We start from the raw sequence: 24947 nt of genomic DNA on the forward strand, positions 1-24947 counted from the left end.
AAATGTCCAGTTGTCTTGGGAGTCAAATAAGGGCTAAAAGAAAAGCCAGGAAGACATGGTCAAGTCAAAAAGCATCTGTTTAGTAAGTATAATAAATGAGGACGCAGCACATGTATCTATCTCTCTCATCCTTGGCAAGGCTTCCAGTTCATCAAACAAGCTTGGAATTTATAAACTGCTAAAGAAGAGAGTAATGCTGGAAAACTGTACAAGTCGAATGTCTGCTTGGGAAAATACAGGAACATGGTGGCATATAAGACAAATATAGGGAATCGAGATATAAAACACAGAATGTTAAAATGTGTTTGCTGGATTACTGTGGCTTTGTTGGACTACATCAGCCTCAGAGAGAAAGTGTCATAGTACATCCAGGGAGAGATTTTTAAAACTGAGGAAACCAGGGTATACCAGTAAATTATTTACATAGGGTTAAGTCCCTTGCCTCCCCACCACCTCCGTAACCTGGGAGATAACAAAATTTACCCAAATTTCCATCCTAAGCTTTTAAGGTTTCATTCCATGTATAGAGTCCAGGTTTCCACAGAGCGCAGTTAGGGTGCTTGATGTTACCTAACATACTCCATGTGCAAAACTCAAACAACCCAGTGACTAACTCTGTAACATCTAAATGCAAATTCTAAAATTAGTGATATTGAGAGGTGTGTCTGTCAAATGCTCAACTAAGAAAGTTGATGAATGGAAATGATAGGGACAATCCAATCAGTATATACCAAAAAAACAAGAATGCAATCCTTGGCTGGGTGTGGTGGCTCACACCTGTAATCCCAGCACTTAAGAAGGCTGAGGCAAGCAGATCACTTGAGGTAAGGAGTTCAAGACCAGCCTTGGCCAACATGGTGAAACCCCATCTCTACTAAAAATACAAAAATTAGCCAGGCATGGTGGTGGGTGCCTGTAATCCCAGCTACTCAGGAGGCTGAGGCAGGAGAATCATTTGAACCCAGGAGGTGGAGGCTGCAGTGAGCTGAGATTGTGCCACTGCACTACAGCCTGGGCAACAGAGTGAGACTCCATCTCAAAAAAAAAAAAAAGATGCAATTCTTATTAAAACCCTTATTAGTTTTTGAATCAGCTATTGCTACCTTGCTTCACTGAAAGGCTTTTTCTTTTTACATAGTTTAAACTGTTTAAAAGACATCATCAACCATTTCCTTTTAAGAGGATTTTTCTATACAACCCCCTAAAACTGAATATAATGGGAAGGCAGAAAACAGAAGTCCACTAGGAGACAGCACTGTAAAAGGAAGACAAAAATCCAGTGATTCTTGTATCCCAATGTTTATGGCTACCTATCTGAGAGAGAAAAAATAAACACAACTTTTATGAGCACAGTAGCTGACTTTGAGGTAAATGGTAATCCAACCCTCATGTGATAAAAAATCAGGTCAAGTCCTCGTGGAGAAATTAGATATCCTGAAGGAAGCCAGCAGTGAATGATCTCTTATACTTAACAGATGCTATTAAATAATTTTTCACTCACTCAACCTCAACAACATTCACTTGAACTTTCATCAACCTATTAATATGAGTTGAAAGCGAAACACTGATGTTGCTATATGACCGCAGCTACTGCCTCAGAAATGTGAACCTACCCTGGCAAGTTACCAAACACAATGGGCCACATATTCTCTCCTACCGTTTCATAGTAAAGATCAAAGATCTAGAGGCAGCATCTTATTGTTTTCAGCTACATACACTGAAGAGATTACAACCACCACTTTGCCTATTTGAATACTGATTTTTAAAAAGACCATTCCACATTGATGTTTGTCTTGCCCACCTATTTAGCTTTGCTCATTCAATCTTCTATTTGATAACAAGGAAAAAAATCATATAATGTGATCCACCACGGTAAAAGACTGGTTGTTTCTCCAGGAAATTGTGAATGAGATTTATCCAAAGATCAGGAAAAAAGTCAGAAAGACAATAAAAATAACACAAATTGTAACAACAGGAATGTGTTTCAGCTTTTAAAATCACTGACCATAATGCTGAAATGAAGTTATTTAAAATAAGATGAGGCAGTAGTCTTCAAAACATCATCCTAAACTACAAAGCCTATTCTAAGATTTACCAAATAATAATAATAATAATATCAGCTTTCCAGCTCTGTATATCTTTAATTGGTCTATATTGCTATCTTCTAAACATAGCCAGTTGTTTAGAAAAACCCAGCAAAGTTACTTGTTTACAGCAAGTAACATGCTTTTTAAAGTAATTAACCAATTTGCAATCATTTGAGAACCTCTCTGCCCTGAGATATTTCCAGAAAGCCAAGTTTGTTAATCATTTGGTCATGCTGCAATTCAATATCAGCAGTGGAATGAAGCCTTAAACCCCTCCAAATTCTAAAATACCTTCCTGAATCCCTCATGGTATTGCAAAGGGCTTTTCCTGCTCTCACTGCGTACCCACAATCCTCATCAGTATTATGTGCACATGCACCATTTGTCGCTGACACTCATCTAGAGACACAGACAGACATGGTCCACTGGAAGACCGATTTCCAGAGAGGAGAGATACTTTAAATGAGAAAAAAATCCACCCTGCGTGCTCTAATTGACTGAGTACTGTACACAATTTGAAGGGGTGTGGGGGGAGGCAGCAAATGGATTTCAATTTACAAAGTAAAAATTAATACATGTGGCGTTTTATGTTCAAATTTAAATCATTTTCATTAAATTTAATTTACCTAATTGTTAATGAATTAGCAAACGCATTTATCAACCAAATCACCTACTAATTGGATACTAATGAAAACTACTTAGCAGTTTGTCTTCATGTTGATCATCATGTATGTTTCACCTTGGTGAACTACACCCCACACTTTTGGTTGGTGAAAACATGCTTTTTATTTGTCACTCTGTTACCTGAATTCTTAAAGGGTGAAGTGAAGAACTAAGTCCTTTTTTTCCCTCCCTCTAGGGTCAGGGACAATATGCTGTAAACTCTAAAGCAGCACAAAACATTTTTGTCAAAGAGCAAGGAGATCACTGAGCTCCAACAAACCAGAACTGCACAAACTTCACATGCCACTGTTTACTGACATACTAGTAAAAAACTCTTCCCCAAGTTGCTAGCTGAGGCTTCTAAAGATCTGCTGGTTTTCAATATAAAGGATGAAACAGGCTAGAAAATCTGGAGATGCTTTAGAAAGGTCTTCACAGAAGGCCAGAAGGGCCCTTCGCGCCGTGCCTCCTGCTCCCACCCTTATCCCTCCTTTTCCGTTGCTTCAAGGCAGAGGGATGTAGCCAGAGGCAGGACTTCTTCCTGTGGAATGTATGGCTAATTATGTGTGAGTCCTTAAAGCACTCTGGGCTCCTTTAGTCGGAGGACCAAGGCTTCAAATGAGGGTCTTCCCCTCCCCCACAATGATTCCAGCGATAACAATCTTGCAATCCATTCTCTTTCCTCTATAAACACAACCTAGTGACCTGCTTCCTTTTGTAACCAGTGCCAGACCCTGAGTCGATTTTCATCTGCCACCTTTCCTAATCTCTAGCTTGACCTGAGTAGAAACTCTTTAAATCTGGACCCTGACTAAAATTGTTTCTAGGTGCTGCTGAGCAAATGGCCCTTAGGTCCTGCTTGAATTTGCCTATTTTTGCTCCTGAAAGACACTGGACCATGGATATGCTCTTTAGAAATAACCGTTTAGATGTATCATTGTTCTTTCCCCCTAAAATGAAAAACACACAATTTTGGCTTGATTTCTATTTAAATGGCCACCAGATATTTTCTACAGTTTGTGTGTGTGTGTGTGTGTGTGTGGCTTAACCTTGAGTTGAATTAACAAGGAATTGCCCTTGTGGTACCAGTCACAGAGAGTTTACTGGAAACTTGAAGCATGCCCTTGCAACTGTGCCCCAAATCGAGAGAAAAGTTACTCACCAACTCTATGCCTACAGGGAATTTAAAATCTGGCTCTGCCATTAACTTGTGCTGTGACTTTGAACAACTTCTGCAAAGAGGAAGGGAACGATGCAGAGAAAATGGAAAGATATCCTGGTCAGAGGCAGGAGGCACGGTGGAGGAAGATCTATCCAATCCCTTGAGAATCTTATTTCCAATCTGACTCTCAGTAGGTCAGAGAATTCCAAATAAATTGGCCCACAGCTGCTCCCACTTTCCCTTCCCCAGATGGCCTAAGGTCATATCCATCTTGTGCTCAAATAGGCCCTGCAGCCCCGGCAAAATACTTCAAACTGAGCATCATTTACTTAAAGATAGATTCTGAACTTTGCCCCAAATGCCTTCACAGTCCTCCACTCTATATTTAGAAATATATTTGTGTGTGTGTGTGTGTGAATGCTTATATGTGTATATAGAGCTTTTCCCTAACCACCTTTTTAACAAATTAAAAAACCTGCAAAAGGTTAAAAATACCTTTATTCTTACTATGCCTTTATTCTGGGCCTTTCAATACTTATAGATTCTGCTTCTATTGCTTTCCAATACAAGTACAGCAGAAGGTTAGAGGTATTTACTCAGAAACACCACTGCTCTGGAATCAGCAAAATAGCCCCCTTTGTACAATTTTTTCTATACCTTTTCTGTGAGCATTTACAGTTCCCAGCTTAGCATGGCCAAACCAAAATTCTGTAGGCTTTGTAGTAGACATTTAAATAAGATTCTTAATACAACATAGTCATTTTTGCCATCCTGCCATTAAATAGAATTTTATTTGCAATATATACTGAATGCATATGGACTAAAGGACACAGAATAAAGTAGGGGAATTTAAAGTCAAGTTTTATAGAATATGGGAACTTAAGTTGAAGGATAACAGCAAGAAAGAAGGCAATTAAGCTGAAGAAATCCTTTAAGCAACTCTATTGGGGTAGAAATTAAAAGCAGACCAGGATATGTTCTAGAATCTAGACACTCAAATTCTGAATACTATCAAGTCTACTTTAAAGTACTCATTACTGATATTCTTTCCCCAGTACTCTACCCTTCTTTTATTTGTGTTCAGTTTTAGCTTTCATTACTTAATTCCATTTGTCCAGAAGAAATGTTATTCTTCAACACTGCAACCGTAATATACTAACTGCTTTAGATATGTGTTGCATGAATTGTTAAATCCCTTTAAACTATTAAAGTAAAGCTGTCTTCTTTTTTCTGGCTCGTTGTCAAAGATATGTTGAATGGTCTTTGAAATTTCTTTAATTATTTAGTTCCTGAAATTATATTATATAATCCTTATGCAATTATTAACATGTGGCTTTCAACAGTAATTAGTGAGCTTTTATAATGGTTATGATGGCTCATTCATAGATGAAGTTTATTAAGTCTATAGTCCAGAGCTCATTGAGATCCCAGAGTCAAGAAAAGTTTCTAAGGGTGATCATCTAAAGGATGAGAGAGAGACAAAGAGAACCAAATTTCAAAGTTTCATGAGCAAAAGATGTGCAGCCACTTAACTGCGTTTACCAATTGCCCTAAGAAATTTTCATTTTGGTGAGTCAAGAATTCTCCGTTATGATTATCTATCAGTTTTCTGTGAACAAGTCGTCTCTACTTCCAGAGTCTCATTCCTCCAGACTGCAACAAGCCCCTGGGCCTTCAAGAGATTTATCAAATTGCAAGAAAAAGATAGCTAGCTCAAATATTGGATGTCTCCTTACCCAGTCATCAAAGCCAAGTCTAGCTTTAGGTGGTAATATTAACTTGTCATTGAATTAATATGATGTACAAGCAGTATACTAGAAGCTTTGCACATACTAATCTTATGTAATACTCATAGCAACCGTTTGAGATAGTTATTACTCCTTCTACTATACATACTAGGAAATTAGGACACTGAGATTAAGTAACTTGCCCCAAATCACAAGCTGTAGAGCCCTAGTTTCAATGTTGTAATTGTGTATCTGTAGAGAGAACTTCAGGAATATTAACAGACCAGAATTTTCCTGAATGAAAATGATGTTATTTGTATTTAAACATACAAACGTCAAAGCTAGCATCTGGCATTCACTTGACAGTCCAATCAATGTTCAACATAAAACATACTACCAGAAAATTCACCAGAAAGTCTACCAGATATGAACTATTGATTGATTATGTTAAATTAGGAAAGTCACACGACTAATCACAAAGTCAAAACCTTGTTCAAACCTACATTGACTAATCTCTGGTATTTTTTGTTTACTCTCAAAACATTAGTCCACCACTCTTGACTATTGCACATTGGTCCTATTGTCAAACATTAACTAGACATTTTGGATACAAATATTTCTCCTTTGTCTATCAAGATGACATTATGACCATGGCACTAAATATTTTGCTCTTGCAAACACATGTCATTTAACCTAATTTCAAAAGATCCCCCTCTCCAAGACATTTGGCTCCATATCACCTATCTATCACTATTGGTCAGCTACTTTCTGGTAATTTTCGTAATGCTTAACCCAATGTAACAATTCACTGCAGCACTGGGTTACTTGTCATAGGATTACTACATGTAGTTTACTGGTTAGTTCCTTTTAATGAGTAAAAGAACATTCTTTTCATATGCTATCAGGGTCACACATTTAATCTTTAAAATATTATTTGGATTTCCCTTATATATGATCCTCAAGTGTCCAGAATGTAGATAACAATCAGAATATAATAAAGGAAAAGGTATCTCGGCAGCAAAAATGGGGACCTCTCTCTCCCCAACTCAAGGCCTCATTCATAACTGAATACTTTTGTATTACCAATAGAATCCAAATAAGTTTTGTAAACTAGTTTTCAAGCCCCCAACAGATTAAAAGCAGCAAGTTAGAGGGAGAGTGGAGTGTTATTAATAGACTTACAGTATTCTGATGAGAATTACAGAAAAAGCCACAAAGGCCTTATATTTGAAGAGGCCAAATCTATTAAGATCTAGATATGTGTTTATCATTACAAAAGTCCAAACAAAGACTGGGAAGAAAAAATAGAAAGATCAGATGACCATAAGTAGGTATGGGTTCATGATTGCTACAGGATTTGCTGGGTTTAAATGTTGTATTTGTGCATTTTGTTTTGTAACACACCAGTAGCTCCTATGTCAGTATTTCATTATTGTAATATAAAATATTCTTAAAGTCTAGACTTAAAATTTCGAGTTTTAGCAATTTTAACAATCCATTTTAGACAAAAAATCAAGGCAAGGAAATGTGAAATGTACTGAAGAGAAGAAAAAAGAACAGGAATTGTCTCCATTTTCCCCTTTAAATTCCCTTGCATTCCCATTAAAAGCACCAAATTTTATTGAGCTCTTACAATATACCATGAAATATGCTACACATATGGAAAGGATTACTTTATTCAATCTTCATTCAATTATCTAATTGAAGTATTACTTCATTCAATCAACTCTGTGAGATAGATATTATCATCCCCATTTTATTGATAGAAAATTGAGGCTCAGACAGTCTCAATCTAATCAGAGATTAGAACTCAGATTCGGGGCTGGGTGTAGTGGCTCACACTTGTAATCCCAGCACTTTGGGAGGCCAAGGTGGGAAGGCTGCTTGAGCCCAGGAGTTCAAGACCAGCCTGAGCAACATAGTGAGACTCCTGTCCCTATTTTAAAAAAAAAAAAAAAGGTAGGGGAGTAGAAAAGAACTCAGGTTGGTCTGACACGAGGTAGAATTCTTTTTAAAAAAATTCATTAGATATTGACAAATTATAATTGCATATATTTATGGGGTACAAAGTGATGTTATATGTATATACTGTAGAATGATTGAGTCAAGCTAATTAATATATCCATCACCTCAAATACTTATCATTTATTCCTCCTGTCTAACTGAAACATTGTACCCTTTGATTATCATCTCCCCATTCCAAGTCCCACCCCGCAGGGTCTGGTAACCAGCATTCTGCTCTCTCCTTCTATGAGTTCTGATTCCATATATAAGTGAGATCATGTGGTATTTTTGTCTTTCTGTATCAGGCTCATTTCACTTAGCGTAATGACCTTCGGTTTCATCCATGTTGTTGCAAATGATATAATTTCCCTCTTCTGTGTGGCAGCATATTATTTCATTTTCTATATGTACCACATTTTCTTAATCTATTAAATCTGCTGATGGATATTTAGGTCGATTCCATATCCTGGCTTTTGTGAATAATGCTGCAGTGAACATGCGGGTACAGCTATCTCTTCAACATACTAATATCAAATGTTTTGAATATATACTCGGAAGTAGGATTGGTGGATCATATGGTAATTCTATCTTCAGTTTTGTTTTGTTTCTTTTTGAAACAGGGTCTCAGCTCTGTTGCCCAGGCTGGAGTGCAGTGGCACGATCATGGCTCACTGTAGCCTCGACCTCCCAGGCTCAGATGATCCTCCCACCTCAGCCTCCCGAGCAGATGGGACTACAGGTGCCTGCCACCAGTCCTGGCTAATTTGTGTATATTTTGTAGGAACAGGGTTTTACCATGTTGCCCAGGCTTATCTTCAGTTTTTTGAGGAACCTCCATAGTGTTTTCCATAATGGCTGTACTAATTTACATTCCCACCAACAGTATATAGAAGTTTTATTTTCTCTACATCCTCAATAACACTAATCTTTCATCTTTTTGATAACAGCCATTCTGACAGATGTGAGGTGCTATCTCATTGTGATTCTACTAAGTGTTTCCCTAATGATTAGTGATGTTGAGCATTTTTTTCATATACCTGTTGGCCATTTGTATGTCTTCTTTGGAGAAATATCTATTCAGGTTATTTGCCCATTTATGAATTAATTGGGTGATCTGCTTTCTTGTTATTGAGTTGTTTGAGTTCCTCATATACTCTGGATATTAAAACCCATTTATGCCTAGTGTTCCATTATTGGAATGCTAAGCTTGTGGGAGTTATTTATATCCTACTGTTCAAAGTCATTGCCAGGGCCTGATTTTTCACAGAAAAAAATTGCAACCTCCAGCAAATATATAGGTTAACCCCTTACCAGAGGTATGACTTGCAAATATTTTCTCCCAATCTGTAGGTTGCTTCTTCACTTTGTTGATTGGTTCCTCTTTCTGCAGAAGCTTTTCAGTTTGATTTAATTTTATTTGTCTCTTTTCGTTTTTGTTGCCTGAGTTTTTGAGGTCAAATCCAAACACTCACTGACCAGACCAATGTCATATACTTTTTCTCCAGACAGAATTCTTTTTTTTTTTTTTAATACTTTAAGTTCTGGGTTACATGTGCAGAACATGCAGTTTTGTTACACAGGTATACACGTGCCCTGGTGGTTTGCTGCACCCATCAACCCGTCATCTACATTAGGTATTTCTCCTAATGTTGTCCCTCCCCTAGCCCCACACCCCACGACAGGCCCCAGTGTGTGATGTTCCCCTCCCTGTGTCCATGTGTTCTCATTGTTCAACTCCCACTTATTAGTGAGAACATGTGGTGTTTGGTTTTCTGATCTTGTGATAGTTTGCTGAGAATGATGGTTTCCAGCTTCATCCATGTCCCTGCAAAGGACATGAACTCATCCTTTATTATGGCTGCATAGTATTCCATGGTGTATATGTGCCACATTTTCTTTATCCAGTCTATCATTGATGGGTATTTGGGTTGGTTCTAAGTCTTTGCTATTGTGAATAGTGCCACAATAAACATACGTGTACATGTGTCTTTATAGTAGAATGATTTATAATCCTTTGGGTATATGCCCAGTAACGGGATTGCTTGGTCAAATGGTATTTCCAGTTCAAAATCCTTGAGGAATTGCCACACTGTCTTCCACAGTGGTTGAACTAATTTACACTCCCACCAACAGTGTAAAAGCATTCCTATTTTTCCACAACCTCTCCAGCATCTGTTGTTTCCTGACTTTTTAATGATTGCCATTCTAATTGGTGTGAGATGGTATCTCATTGTGGTTTTGATTTGCATTTCTCTAATGACCAGTGATGATGAGCATTTTTTATACATCTGTTGGCTGCATAAATGTCTCCAGACAGAATTCTTAGCTTCAATCCAACACTATATCCTGCCCACAAAAGTAACTCATGTATGTTCATAAGGAACTATACATGTTCATGTTGGGCCAAGCTGACTTGATCTCCAAACAGGCAGTCAGAATGGCTGTATGTCAACACACAAACTAATTTGACTCTTTGTGACTGACTTCTGGTGACTGTCTGGATGGCTTGATATGACAAGCCAGTGAAAGCAATGAACTGAATTTGTGTGTACTGATGTAGCTGAAGGCAAGACTAGCCTATTATTAGAATACACAAATCTCACTTATGATGTAAATGGAACACAGATTTAAATTTACCCCACACAATAATGGCATGGAATGTAGTAACACTTTCTGAAAGAGTCTACACCATGCTGATAATCAATGCTTAATGAGGTCCTTTTCTCCGGACTCAAGACCTTTATGTTACTGTCATCCTGTTAAGCATCTCATTTTTCCCCACTTGAATAGCTTTGTCCTCTTACAAAGGCCTGTCACTATGTGAAAGTGGCAGTATAATTAATTTTTCAGTAAAAGCCAAGTTGTTTGCTCTCAAACATCCTGCAGTTTAGGAAATGTCAAAGTGTCAGACCATGTAAGTGGAAATAAACTCTGCATTCCACTTCCAATCACTTCCTGCAGGGAAAGAATAGCTAGACATTCCATTGAGAAGGGAGAAATGCACAGAATCACTCCCAAAAAGTTATTCAATGTCTTTCTTATCCGATAAATATGTCATCTGTAAATCTTAATCTATTTCGAGTTAAAACATAACACTCCAGTGCTGCTTGCAAGATCCTGTTACATCCTCAGAAGTTGGTGCATGTGTATGTGTGTATACAATACATAATCCCATACATTCCCTTTTTGGATTGTTTTAACAATAACATTATTTTTTCTATTTTTTTTTTTACTACACAATACATATATACTAAACAATGTCTGTCACATACTATGTGCTCAGTAAGTAATTATGCAATACTTTCTAGAGAAATTAGAAAACACAGATAAAAAAGAAGAAAATAACCACCCCCACCCCCCGACCATAATCTCACCATCTAGAGAAGACCACGGTTTCCTATTACCTACGATTCTAGCCTTCTTTTTTTTTTTTTTTTTTTTTTGAGACAGAGTCTCACTCTGTTGCCCAGGCTGGAGTACAATGGCACAATCTCAACTCGCTACAAACTCCACTGCCTCGCTAATTTTTTTTGTATTTTTAGTAGAGACGGGGTTTCACCGTGTTAGCCAGGATGGTCTCGATCTCCTGACCTTGTGATCCACCTGCCTTGGCCTCCCAAAGTGCTGGGATTACAGGCGTGAGCCACTGCACCTGGCCTCTAGCCTTCTTTTGATGTATATAAATACATTTTTATAAAAATGGAATCACACTTTATGTACTGTTTTATCACTTAATAATAAGTTGTCAGCATTTTTCAATGTCATTATGAATTATTTCATAATACTATTTTAAGAGCTGTACAGTATTCTATCATATAGGTGTCCCATAATGAAACTAATCTCTTAATGCTGGAGACTGTGGTTATTTCTAGTTTTTCATTTTCTTGATAGCACAATAAAGATCCTTATAATCCATTCTTTATATATCATCTTGATTATTTCCTTAGGATAAATTCCTGGGTGTGCAAAAATATGCAAACAACCCAAATGTCCATCAATTGATGAATAAATAGATAAAATATATAGGCCAGGCATGGTGGTTCATACCTGTAATCCCAGCACTTTGGGAGGCCAAGGCAGGAGGATCCCTTGAGCCTAGGAACTCAAGACCAGCCTGGGCAACATAGAAAGACTCTGTCTCTGTCAAAAATAAAAATAAAAAAAAGGTCGGGTGCGGTGGCTCATGCCTGTAATCCTAGCACTTTGAGAGGCCGACGCGGGTGGATCATCTGAGATCAGGAGTTCGAGACCAGACTGCCCAAAATGGTGACACCCTGTCACTACTAAAAATACAAAAAAATTAACTGGGTGGAGTGGCACACACCTATAGTCCTAGCTACTCAGGAGGCTGAGGTAGGAGAACTGCTTGAACCCAGGAGGCAGAGGTGGCAGTGAGCCGAGATCATCCCACTGCACTCCAGCCTGGACAACAAGAGCGAAACTCCATCTCAAAAAAAAAAAAAAAAAAATTAGTTGGGTATGGTTACTGGTACGTGTAATTCCAGCCACTTGGGAGGCTGAGATGGGAGGATCACTTGAACCCAAGAGCTCAAGGTTACAGTGAGCCATGATGGCACCACTGCAGTCCAGGCTGGGTGACATAGAGGGACACTGTCTCTTAAAAAAAAATAAAGAAAAATAAATAAAATGTATATACAGGTATCCATACAATGGAATATTATATAGCCATAAAAAGGAATGAAGTTCTGATACATGCTAAAACATGGAGGCAGCTTGAAAACATTATGCTAAGTAAAAGAAGCTAGACACAAAAGGCCCCCATATTGTATGATTCCATTTAGATGAGATGTCTAGAATACAGAAATATATAGAGACCGCAAGTTGATAAATGGTTGCTCAGGGCTAGGGGTGAAGGAGATGGGGAGATATGAGGGTGATTAGCTAAAGTGTATAGTTTCTTTTTGAGGTGATAAAAATATCCCAAAACTGACTGTGGTGATAGCTACAAAATTTTGTGACTATCCTAACAACACTGAATAGTATGTACATTTTAAAAGGGTGAATTTTATAGTATGTGAATTATATCTCAATAAAGTTGTCATTTTAAAAATTCTGGGCCAGGCATGGGAGCTTACATCTATAATCCCAACACTTTGGAAGGCCAAGGCAGAAGGACTGCCTGAGCCAGGAGTTCAAGACCAGCCGGGGCAACTTAGAGAGACCCTGTTTCTACAAAAAGTAAAAATAAATAAATAAATAAATAAATAATTATTATAATAATAATAGGCACAGTCGTGCATGCCTGCAGTTCTAGCTGCTTGGGAGGCTAAGGGGGAAAGATTGCTTAAGTTCAGGAGGTGGAGGCTGCAGTGAGCTGTGATCATGCCACGACACTCCAGCCTGGGCGACAGAGCTAAGACCTTGTCTCAAAAAAAAAAAAAAAAAAATTCTGAGGCATGCTAAAAATTTTAAGCTTTTGAAGTAAAAAAATTATTTTTAAAGTAACTAAAATTAATTTTTAAATTAATTTTAAAGATCTTCCTCTAAGTAGCGAATCTGTGTGAGAACTTTGAAGATTAGGTACTTTAGATTCTTCATCTGGAAAATGGGCCCCCACCTCACCAGGTTGTTATGAGAATTAAATGAGATTGTATAATTACAAGTGCCTGAAACATAGAAACTCCGTGTTAGATAAACAAATGCATGCAGAGTATTTCCTAGCCCAGTGTCTCTGTGCCCAAAGCCCTTCTTAAGAGCTGCATCAGATGTAGTCCTTGCCTCTGAGGGTCTTCTCATCTAAGACATGTTACATTTTTTTCCAACTTCCTTCTGCTGTCTTTGAATAAAACACCATGAAAACCATTTTACTTCTGGAGCAGAGCTTTCAAAAAACCAAAACTATCGACAAACCCTTCATTGTACATTCTACTTTCCTCTTGGTGACCTCTTCGTTTCAAATGCTGTAATGAGCTCAGTTTTGCTCCTTCACTACTCCTTTCTGGTATGCTGCTCCCGTGGGCACCTCCTAAGTGGTTCAAGGAAAAGACCCATCATTGCTCAGCAGTCAGGGCAAGTTACAGCCACAAGTCAAATACCTTCCTGAGACCTTTAACCTTGCTGAATGGGGTGGGAGAGTGATGAAAGCCATTCTGCATACCAGGAAGGTCTAATGTCACAGCTTACAACCTGTCCAAACAGGATGCTTGGACTTTTTTGTTTTTTGTTTTTTTTTAACTAAATAGTGATCAGGGTGGCTCTAAAACAGTATTCCTATGGTGACACCCTCAAGTCACTCCACACCAAAAGGGAAAGAAGGTCAAGCTGGAAGGGGGGTAGATATACTTCGGAAGTTCCTGTGAGGAACTTTACATACCTTGGAGAGGACTAAAGGAAGGTGAACAGGCAGTGTCCACACAACCGGCTAGTCAGGAAAACCTTTGCAATCAGGGTGCAGGTTAGGTTAAGTAAAAGCCACAATCATAAGACACTAATTAGAAGAAACCAGAGATTTATATGCATCTTGAATTACTTTATTAGATATCCAAATATCTCTGAGTCTCAGTCTTTCGGAGAGTCATCGCACCTTTTTAAGCTCTCAGTCGGGCTGGGCACAGTGGCTCATGTCTGTAATCCCAGAACTTTGGGAGGCCAAGGCGGGCGGATCATCTGAGGTCAGGAGTTCAAGACCAGCCTGGCCAACATGGTGAAACCCTGTCTCTACTAAAAATACCAAATATTAGCCAGACGTAGTGGCGGGCACCTGTAATCCTGGCTACTTAGGAGGCTGAGACAGGAGAATCACTTGAACCCAGGAGGCAGAGGTTGCAGTGAGCCGAGGTCGCACCATTGCACTCCAGCCTGGGCAACAAGAGCAAAACTCCGTTTCAAAAAAGAGAAAGCTCTCAGTAAGGTTATATTGTTGAAGTGTCTGTCATTTCTCAATGGTTTCTAAAGCCATTGCGCTGTGAGGTATTTGGGGAAAGAGATTCAATTTTCCCATTAGATTTAGCCTATTTCATCCTTTGACAGCATCTTCACTCTATTTTTATTTTTTATTTTTTAATTTTTGTCTTTTATTTATTCTTTATTATCGTTAGAATTTAACTTACATAATTATATTTATGATTTACTAATATTTAATTCTGTTTTTAATAAGGCCACATTCAAAGTGTTTCATTTAAAAAAATAATAATGGTAGAGTCAACCAATAAAGTGATGATATGCAGGTTTCCAGCTCCTAGGTAGTAGCATTCTTACAGGGAAGATGTTTCACTGCACAAACGAACTAACCCTCAGGAAGCTTGAGGATCCTGTGAAGGACACACACCGTCTAATCATGTCAGACGATGTAAGTGTGCAATGATGAAATTTTTGATGGGGAGGGAAGTCCCTGCCTACTCACCCTCCCTTCTTTAGGATGTCTCCATAACATAATATGCCTGATCAAAAGTGGGTTTTTTGTTTGTTTTTTGTTTTGTTTTGCTTTGTTTTGTTTTTTGAGACAGGATCTCACTCTGTCACCCAGACTGGAGTGCAGTGGTACGATCTCGGCTCACTGAGACCTCTGCCTCCCGGGTTCAAGTGCTTCAGCCTCCCAAGTAGCTGGGATTACAGGCGCCCGCCATCAAGCCTGGCTTATTTTTGTATTTTTAGTAGAGACAGGGTTTCACCATGTTGGCCAGGCTGGTCTCGAACTCCTGAACTCAAGTGGTGTGCCCACCTCGGCCTACCAAAGTCCTGGGATTACAGGAGTGAGCCACTGTGCCCAGCCTGATTAAAAGTCTTGACCTTTTGATTTTACAATGCAAGTTCATGTGCCTCTGACCCTTGGAAATGCAAATACTTCTAGAATTTGCTCAGGGATCTCTCCTAAGGTATAAGTGAGACAGGCACAATGTGCATCCTCTTGTATCTCAAGAAAATGAGAAGTTTTAAATTGTTCTCTCTTCTACTTTTTTTGTATGAATGTGTGTGAAATTATTTCCAGATTTTGTAGTTGTTTTTGTACTACTTCACATGCATATAACTCTGATAATGCTTATCCAATATTAAAATCATGTTTTATCTCTATATATTAATATGGAAGGGTCTTTTGGTAACAGAATGGTTTAAGTTCTCTAACAATGACAAGGTCGCTGTTAATGAGCAGTTTGGTGTGACTGAAAATGCACAGAAACACCTGAAGAGGCCGGGCACGGTGGCTCACGCCTGTGGTCCTAGTACTTTGGGAGGCCAAGGCAGGCAGATCACTTGAGGTCAGGAGTTCGAGACCAGCCTGGCCAACATGGTGAAACCCCGTCTCTACTAAAAATACAAAAATTAGCCGGGCATCGCGGTGCGTGCCTGTAATCCCAGCTACTCGGGAGGCTGAGGCAGGAGAATTGCTTGAACCCAGGAGGCGGAGGTTGCAGTGAACTGAGATCGTGCCACAGCACTCCAGCCTGGGCCACAGAGCAAGACTCTGCCTCAAAATAAGAAAAAAGAAACACATGAAGAAAAAGTGAGACACTGTAGTTACATGGAAGCCAATTTAATACAATTGATCCTGGGACCAAAAGCATCTATTTGTTTACTTTCAAGTGCATTTTTAGCTAATTGGTCCATCAACAAACATTTTCTGAGATCCTACTATGATCAAGCTGTATGCTAAGTGTTAAGGATACAAATAAGATACAGTTTGCTAGAAGTGTTCATAGTATAGTGAAGGAATCACCAGACCACTGAATCCCTATAGGTCTATTCCAGGAAAGTGAGTCCAGATTCTACTCAAATAGACTAATTTTTCACTCCAGCTACAACTGTGAATGGGGACTGATGATGAGAATTTCACTACTTCCTTGGAGTAGCCTATTCTCTCTTTGGGCAGCTTACGTTGTTGGAAAGTTATTGCCTGGATTGAGAAAGAGATGTCTTCCTTTATCTCTCCTCTACTGATCCAAGTCTGCCTCCTCCCACCCTAAAGCCACCAAAATTAGTTTATTGTTACTTTGACTTGAGAGTCCTTCATGTTTTTGATAACAGCCACCAAGGTACCCTGAATCTCCACCCCCCGTCCCAAGTTAAAGAGATTCGGTTCCATCAACGTTTCCTCATAGAATGCGATTCTGAGTATCCCTGCCATTCCTTATTAAAGAAATCATAGGTAGCAGCAGATAGAGGAGTTATTTAGTGGGCTGGTAGCAGGGCCCTGATGACAATTTACAAACCTATTTTGATGAAGAAAAAGGAATGCATTAGGCCCTCAGATAACAGGGTCCCAGTTTGTGGCCTTCATTATCAAGTATAAGCAGAATTAATAATTCATATCCTGCTAATGCACAGCGAATCACATAAGAGCTTCAGCTTTAGAAAAGTCTTTAAACAGCGCACACACACACATAGACACAGGCACACACACATCTCAAAAGCATGAATAAAAGCAATCTATATATCCACCCCAATCAATCATGATTACTGAAGGCCTTCTGATTACCGAAGAGAGTTCCCTCGCAGGCAAGAAAAATTTCTGTCCTTGCTAAGCTTCTCCACCCTTGGACTCAGCGGCCTCTCCCCAAACTTTTCACTCTATATAAAAACTTTCATTCCCAATTAATACATACTCAAAATCCAACTGTCCCCATGAATTTAGGGTGTTGGCAAAGAATCACAGTGCTTCTCCAGTCCAACTTTTATTGGATAGAGGAAACAGCCCTAGAAAGAAAATGTCAAGGCTGGGTGTGGTGGCTCACTCCTGTAATCCCAGCATTTTGGGAGGCCAAGGCAGGTACATCACCTGAGATCAGGAGTTCGAGACCAGGCTGGCCAACATGGTGAAACCCCGTCTACTAAAAATAGAAAAAATTAGCCAGGCATGGCGGCACACGCCTGTAATCCCAGCTACTTGGGAGGCTGAAGCAGGAGAATTGCTTGAACCTGGGAGGTGGAGGTTGCAGGGAGCCAAGATCGTGCCATTGCACTCCAGCCTAGGCAACAGAGTGAGAGATTGTCTCAGAAAAAAAAAAAAAAAGAAAGAAAAAGAAAGGAAACATCCATTGTAGGTGGCAGACCCAACTAAAACTCAAGTTCCATCTCTTTTCTTTGTTCTCCATCAAAATGTCTCTAAGTTCTTTTTCAAAAGTTGGCAAAAGCATCAAGAGAAATATAATTCATTAGTAATGGTATCTTCGGAAAGTAGGTTCCTGGTAGTCAAATTTGTACTCAGTGAATTTGGGCCTCCCTTGCCCACCATCACCACTTTTTCCTCCTTTGAGCTCTCTTTACATGAATGCTTTCTGTATCTATCTAAGGCAACAAAGGATATTAAGTCCGTAAATTAAATCAGACTCAATATTTACTTAATATCTACTAAATGTCAGGCATTTCCACACAAATGATCTCATTTGTTCTTGACAACAACTCCCTGAGGTAGGTGCTATTACAGCTGTTTTCCAGATGAGCTGCTGGAGCTCTGTTCATAGAGAACACCTAGTACCTACAGGATTCAAACCCAGAACTTTTCACTCCAACTCCAATACTCTCTCTACTACTCTGTGACCTTTTTTTTTTTTTTTTTTGAGATGGAGTCTCGCTCTGTCGCCCAGGCTGGAGTGCAGTGGCGTGATCTCAGCTCACTGCAAGCTCCACCTCCCGGGTTCACGCCATTCTCCTGCCTCAGCCTCCCAAGTAGCTGGGACTACAGGCGCCCACAACCACGCCCAGCTAATTTTTTGTATTTTTAGTAGAGACAGGGTTTCACCGTGTTAGCCAGGATGGTCTCGATCTCCGGACCTCATGATCCGCCCACCTTGGCCTCCTAAAGTGCTGGGATTACAGGCGTGAGCTACCGTGCCCGGCCTTTTTTTTTTTTTTTTTTTTTTTAAATAGAGACAGGGTCTCACTATGTTGCCCAGGCTGGTCTTGAACTCCTGGACACAAGCCATCCACCCACTTTGGCCTCACAAAGTGCTGGAATTATAGGCATGAGCCACCAAGCCCAGCCTCTTTGTGCACCTTTTAATGATTTTAACAATGAGGATGATACTGATGGTGTATTCTATCCACGTTTTTGCTTGCATCACAAACTGATTTTTTTTTTTTTAGTTTAATCAAGTTGAAATTTCTTGTTAAAAGGAATAAAAGATCCAACTTCAAGCAACCCCCTTGTATATAAGGATACCGTGCTATTCTGCCTATAGCAGCAGTCAGGGCAGCAAGGTGTTTTCTTTTCTATCAGATTTCAGCAGACTAATAAAACTCAAAGCCTGAAAAAGGGAGAGATGAGGTAGTCTCTCCAAACATGCTCACGTGGATGGTGCCAGGAAGCCCCTAGGCAAGTAAAATAACTTCTTTGGAAGCCTCAAATCACTTTAGCCTCAAATAAACCTTGACACCCAAGTAGGGGTATCAGGCAACCCACCAAGGCCATATATATCTCCGGGTTGCTGTGGAAAAAGAAGGACAGAGTTTCCTAATCCAGACATTGAAACACTAAGTGGTACCCTCCCATTTGTAACCGATGAGTATTCACAAGGACAGGTGGGTAATGGAGGATGAACATTCCCTCCCAGCATTTTTAATTAACTGGTTGTTGGATTTATTGGTCAGCTCAGTGGGAAATCAGAACCTACTACTTGGGGGCTATTTTTATAGCCTTCTGGAGTTGGGTTGCCTTAGTACAGACATCTGGCACCATTCCTAGAAGTGGTTAGATTTGTATTTTTCCCTTTTAAACAGCAACCAGTGAGTAGATTTGAGCATTCTAGGCATCTGGCAGTAATCCGATATAATAAAGGTGCCTCTCTCCCTTCCCACTTTGGTAATATAGCATATGCACCACCAGTTTATCCCTTCACATCCAGCAGTAGGTCAGAGGCAAAGGGAGTGTGGTTAAAACACAAAATAAACTCTGTAAAATCTTGGAATCAAGGGGTTGTATCTATCATCAATACGTTTATAAGCTATAAAACCAGAGTAAGTCATCTCTGAATAAGCAATATTAGATCTTATCAACCCCAAATTCCTCAAATCAGAGTTTCAGCTCATTCCCTCTGTCTTCCTTCAGATGAAGTACTGTTTAGGAAAAACGGGAGCCTTTTGCCATCAAAGATCTTTTTACAGCATACAGTAACAATTTCTGTGCAGATATTTGGGTGGCAAATTGTAAACCGATACCTATTTTGCAATAAAATTACCACAGCATTAAATTGACATAATAGAGACAGAAATTCTATTCTGTTGAGTTTTGGTCATGCAGGCACTCACTTTAATGTGGGAGATGAATTAAACTCATCCTTGGGAAATCCAAGGGTAATGACCGAAACACAATGTGATTGAGCTAATTATCAACCAGGTGTGCTTTAAGGAGTTGATGGTTCAATCTATTACTGCTAAGTGCATAAGCCTGTTTTGGGGAGGAGTTTATGAGAGCAGGTCACACACTGCAACTTCCCAAAGGGCAAAAGACAATGTTTCTGCAGATCTGGCATTATGTTGAGCCCACCTAAATCCTGCTTAGGCCAGCTCAAGAACCTGAAAAGATTTCCGGACTACCTAAGATCCTAGGAAGCTGGCCATCCCTGAAGTCCACAGCAGTTACTGTCTATAAGCAGTTGGCCTGTACTGCCTGGTACTGAGAGTCAACTTCCCATTTGTATATGTTTGGTCTCAACTTAGTAAACGGCTCAAAGGCACACACATGTTTTTTAAATATCTCCCATGATGCCTGACCTTGTTAAGTATTTGCAGATTGAGATCTTCTGGATAAAAAGTAACTTTTAAAATACTTACACATTGCCGTATGGATATTTCTTACATTTGTTTGTCTCTGTAAATGAAGTACCGTATATGAAACATAAACCATTTAATGGCTCTGGTTCATTATAAGGAACATCAGTCTCATATGGTGTAGGACACAGAGCTGGGTGTATATTTACATCATGATATCCCTGATCAACATTGGCACATACTACAGAACAGAGCCCTGCTTCTCTGAGGCCACATCTACCTTCCTCCGGACATCTCCTTTCATTTATTGCTACATCATTTGTTGTTACTCCCTCCACTCACACATCTACCTTGTTCCAGCACCACAGGATCCTGACATTCACAGCTATTACCAACCAATTCCAGTACATATTTCTTCTGGTGGTCAAAGCGTCTCTTCCTCAAACTGCGTATCATCAGTCTTCTTCAATGAATCCCATTCTACTAGACTGTAAGATCCCAGAGAACAGGGACTAAGTCTGAATCATTATTGTATGTAAACTCTGCCTCCCACACTCCACCACTACCCAACCCAGAAGTCTACAGCTCAAGGAATGCTCAATAAACAGTTTAACTGAATTCCAGGATTCCAAGTTTCCCACCAGCTATTGGAAAATTCTGAATCTCTAGGTGGTTGTAAGTGATTTGACCAATGGTCTAATGGTTTTTATTTTCATTTAATTAATTAATTAATTTGTTTGTTTTTTGAGACAAGAGTCTCACTCTGTCACCCAGGCTAGAGTGCAGTGGCATGATCTCGGCTCACTGCAACCTCCACCTCCTGGGTTCAAGCAATTCTCTTGCGTCAGCCTCCTGAGTAGCTAGGATTACAGGCGCCCGCCACCACGCCTGGCTAATTTTTGTCTTTTTAGTAGAGACAGGGTTTCACCATGTTGGTCAGGTTGGTCTCAAACTTCTGAGCTCAGGTGATCCACCCGCCTCAGCCTCCCAAAGTGCTGGGATTACAGGCATGAGCCACCGCGCCCGGCCGGTCTAATGGTTTTTAAATTCAACTTAAACTAAAGCGCAGAAGGAGAACACAACACAGGCCAACTGGCCTATAGGAGCAGGCCCAAAGTATTCAAGTAGGCAACCCCCTAGCAGAGATCCCTTTGTTTTTTGGCACAGGGAAACTTCAATATTTGAATGTTAAATGTTGAATTTGCATTTAGAAGATAACAATCAATCAAATATTTATTGATTGCCTGGCACATAGAGGGCCTTGTGCAAAAAGTCCATGAGAAAACAGATGGGTTTTCAATAAAGAAGTACCATCAAGTGGTGGTAGCAAGAACATAGCAGCAACTCTACACACTTTTTCTTAAGAGTCAGAGCTCATCCAGACTGAATAGCTATGGTCCCTGAGGAAATACCAGGTACTTATTTCTTACTCCATGTGGAAGATCTGAGGATTAAACAACACAGCAATACAAGGGTTCATCTTCTTTAACTTTTTTTTTTTATCAATTTACATTTTCCTAGTCAACTGAAAATCCATTTCTTTCTCAAATGTTCCTCCAACAAAATGATAAGGAGGAAGGGGAATCTGATTCCAGGATAAGAGATCTTACCTAGGACCATTTCAAAGATTTTCTAAGGTCTGCTTATTACTTCTCTCATGGTTATCCTTCTCCTCAGTTACAGCCCATGTTCTCTGGCTTCTTGGTGGTGGCAGAGCAACCACCACTGAGTGAAATGGCTTCCCACACAAGCTCCAATTGTGCTAGAGCTGACAAACTACTGATACCAAAGGGTTTACTGAGCACCACTCAGGGGGAACTTTTTCACAGAGTAGAATTTATTTTTAAAAGTGGATTATGTTTTATATTGTCCATCTCTCTCTTTGGAAGAACGTGTCCTTAAATTGCTCATAAAGAAAACCACATGGGTTTTCCAGGAATTTCTGTTTGAATCAAACTAACCACTTCTGTTTCTGAAGCAGATATAATAAAAATAATGTTGTATTTCTGGTTAATACGACAGCATGCCACTATAAAAATTCATCAAAAGAACCATTTCTATAATAGATGTATTTAATGGCATATGAAATGTTAACATTTGATTCAGAAGTTAATTGTAAATCAAATAATACTATTTCTTTGCAAGAGGGTAGACCAAAAAAGCTTAAAAGACATTAACCTAGGTGAATTTTTATACCAAATATTTACTTAATATTAAACTTTTTCTTTAATTTGAAAACATTCTCAAACACAAGTACCTTTTTTCATGGAAGTGAAAACTTTGCTCATTTCATATCACATACATATACACATACACATATTTCTTTTTAACTTGTCTCTGGATTTTATTATTATTATTATTTCATTTTTTATTTTATTTTATTTTTGAGACAGAATCTCGCTCTGACACCAGGCTGCAGTGCAGTGGCACGGTCTCGGCTCACTGCAACCTCCACCTCCCGGGTTCAAGCGATTCTCCTGCCTTAGCCTCCCGAGTAGCTGGGACTACAGGCCCGCACCACCACACCCAGTAAATTTTTGTATTTTTAGTAGAGATGGGGTTTCACCATGTTGGCCAGGATGGTCTCAATCTCTTGACCTCGCGATCTGCCCGCCTCGGCCTCCCAAGTTGCTGGGATTACAGGCATGAGCCACTGCGCCTGGCAATCTCTGGATATTTTTGAGTTAAAGTTATACACCTGAAGAGGGGGGAAAAGGTAATTTCTTATTTCAGAAAAGAGGTTTGAGGTATGTGTTTTTAAGAATGCTACCATCTGCAGAATGTCAAAAACGTTTTTCCCCGTTGGAATTACAACTGATGGAGCAAAGTACTATCTCCCAATTTCTAGAGCTGGCTGTGTGACCTGAAGCAGGTCACTTAGACTCGCTGAGTCTCAGGGACGTTAGAACTGTGCCTGACATAGAATACTGTCAAAACCTACTCTTGAACTTTACCCAGGGGTTGGGCCAGATGATATACAATGTCCTTTCCATTTCTAAAAATCATGGATGAAGATGCCATCTAAATAAAAGAATCTGCTTTAAAATATTTTGAATTAACCAAATATTTGAGCCTTTGCTATTTTATTAGGTAACAGAAAGTACAGTGATACTTCAAATAAGCTTTTCTGAAAAAGAAATCAGTTTTATTTAAAGAAGGACACTTTAAGACAATTCACTGCTATTTTTCCTTCATATTTTTGTATGTTTTTAAAAAGTTTTAATAATTCAAATATATTACTTTTGTTCTCAGAAAAAATAATTATCTACATCTAGGCATGTGAGATGTCTTGGGTTGGAGGTTGAAGATTATGGCAAAGAACATTTTCTTCTCATTTTTCTGATTATAAAAATCATAAGTCTGCATTACAGAAATTTTAGGAGGTGCACCTATAATTCCAGAACTTTGGGAGGCCAAGGCGAGGGAATCACTTGAGGCCAGGATTTTGACACTAGCCTGGCCAACACGGTGAAACCTCGTCTCTACTAAAAATACAAAAACTAGCCAGGCGTGGTGGTGCACACCTGTAATCCCAGCTACTTGGGAGGCTAAGGCACGAGAATCACTTGAACCCAGGAGGCAGAGGTTACAGTGAGCCAAGATTGCACCACTGCAACCCAACCTGGGTGACAGAGCAAGATCCTGTCTCAAAAAGAAAAAGAAAAAAAGAAATTTTAGGATATGTAAAACAAAAAAGAAACTATCCATGATTCTACCACACAAAAACAATCTCCATTAATATTCTAGTATATTTCCTTATAGCATTTTCTATCTGTATACTATAGTCAGTTCTGAGATTAGTTATATTGCCTGATGTTTTGCTTCTTCCCATGTATTATTTTGTGAATATTTTCCACTGTCATTAAAAGTCTTTAAAAACACCATTTTAGGCCGGGTGCGGTAGCCCATGCCTGCAATCCCAGCACTTTGGGAGGCCGAGGCGGGCAGATCACTTGAGGTCAGGAGTTCAAGACCAGCCTGGCAGGAGAATCGCTTGAACCTGGGAGACAGAGATTGCAGTGAGCTGAGATTGTGCCACTGCACTCCAGCCTGGGCAATAGAGTGAGACTCTGTCTCAAAAAAAAAAAAAATCACCCATTTTAATGGCTTTATCATAGTGTCCTCTACATAACCATTCCCCTATGTTCAGACATTTAGACTGTTTTCCAATTGTTTGCTCTTACTGCATAAACAATGCTGCAGTTAACCCCCTTATAAATATGTTTTTATGGCCGGGCATGGTGGCTCATGCCTGTAATCCCAGCAATTTGGGAGGCCAAGGTGCCTGGATCACCTGAGGCTAGGAGTTCGAGATCAGTCTGGCCAACATGGTGAGACCCCGTCTCTACTAAAAAAAATGCAAAAATTAGCCAGGCGCAGTGGCGTGCACCTGTAGTCCCAGCTACTTGGGAGGCTGAGGTAGGAGAATTGCTTGAACCCGGGAGGCGGAAGTGGCAGTCAGCCAAGACCGTGCCACTGCACTCCAGCCTGGGCGACAAGAGCGAAACTCTGTCTGAAAACAAACAAACAAACAAACAAACAAATAAAATATAAATAAATAAATACATTTTTATGTACATCTCTTTGACTGAACAGAGACTTGTATTTCCTTTGCAGCAAGCCACTGGCAGAGAAGGAAAG

The 24947-nt window shown here is 39.6% G+C and overlaps 1 protein-coding gene and 1 non-coding gene across 6 annotated transcripts in view; one reads left to right on the forward strand and one right to left on the reverse strand.

Annotated features, from left to right (window-relative positions):
* The window catches only part of GPC3 (glypican 3), a 449850-nt gene that overhangs the window by 343023 nt on the left and 81880 nt on the right, over positions 1–24947 (reverse strand). The window lies entirely within an intron of this gene.
* On the forward strand, positions 18676–19154 carry GPC3-AS1 (GPC3 antisense RNA 1). The gene has a single exon (NR_148713.1).

Source organism: Homo sapiens, chromosome X, assembly GCF_000001405.40.
Source record: "Homo sapiens chromosome X, GRCh38.p14 Primary Assembly".
Lineage (NCBI taxonomy): Eukaryota > Metazoa > Chordata > Mammalia > Primates > Hominidae > Homo > Homo sapiens.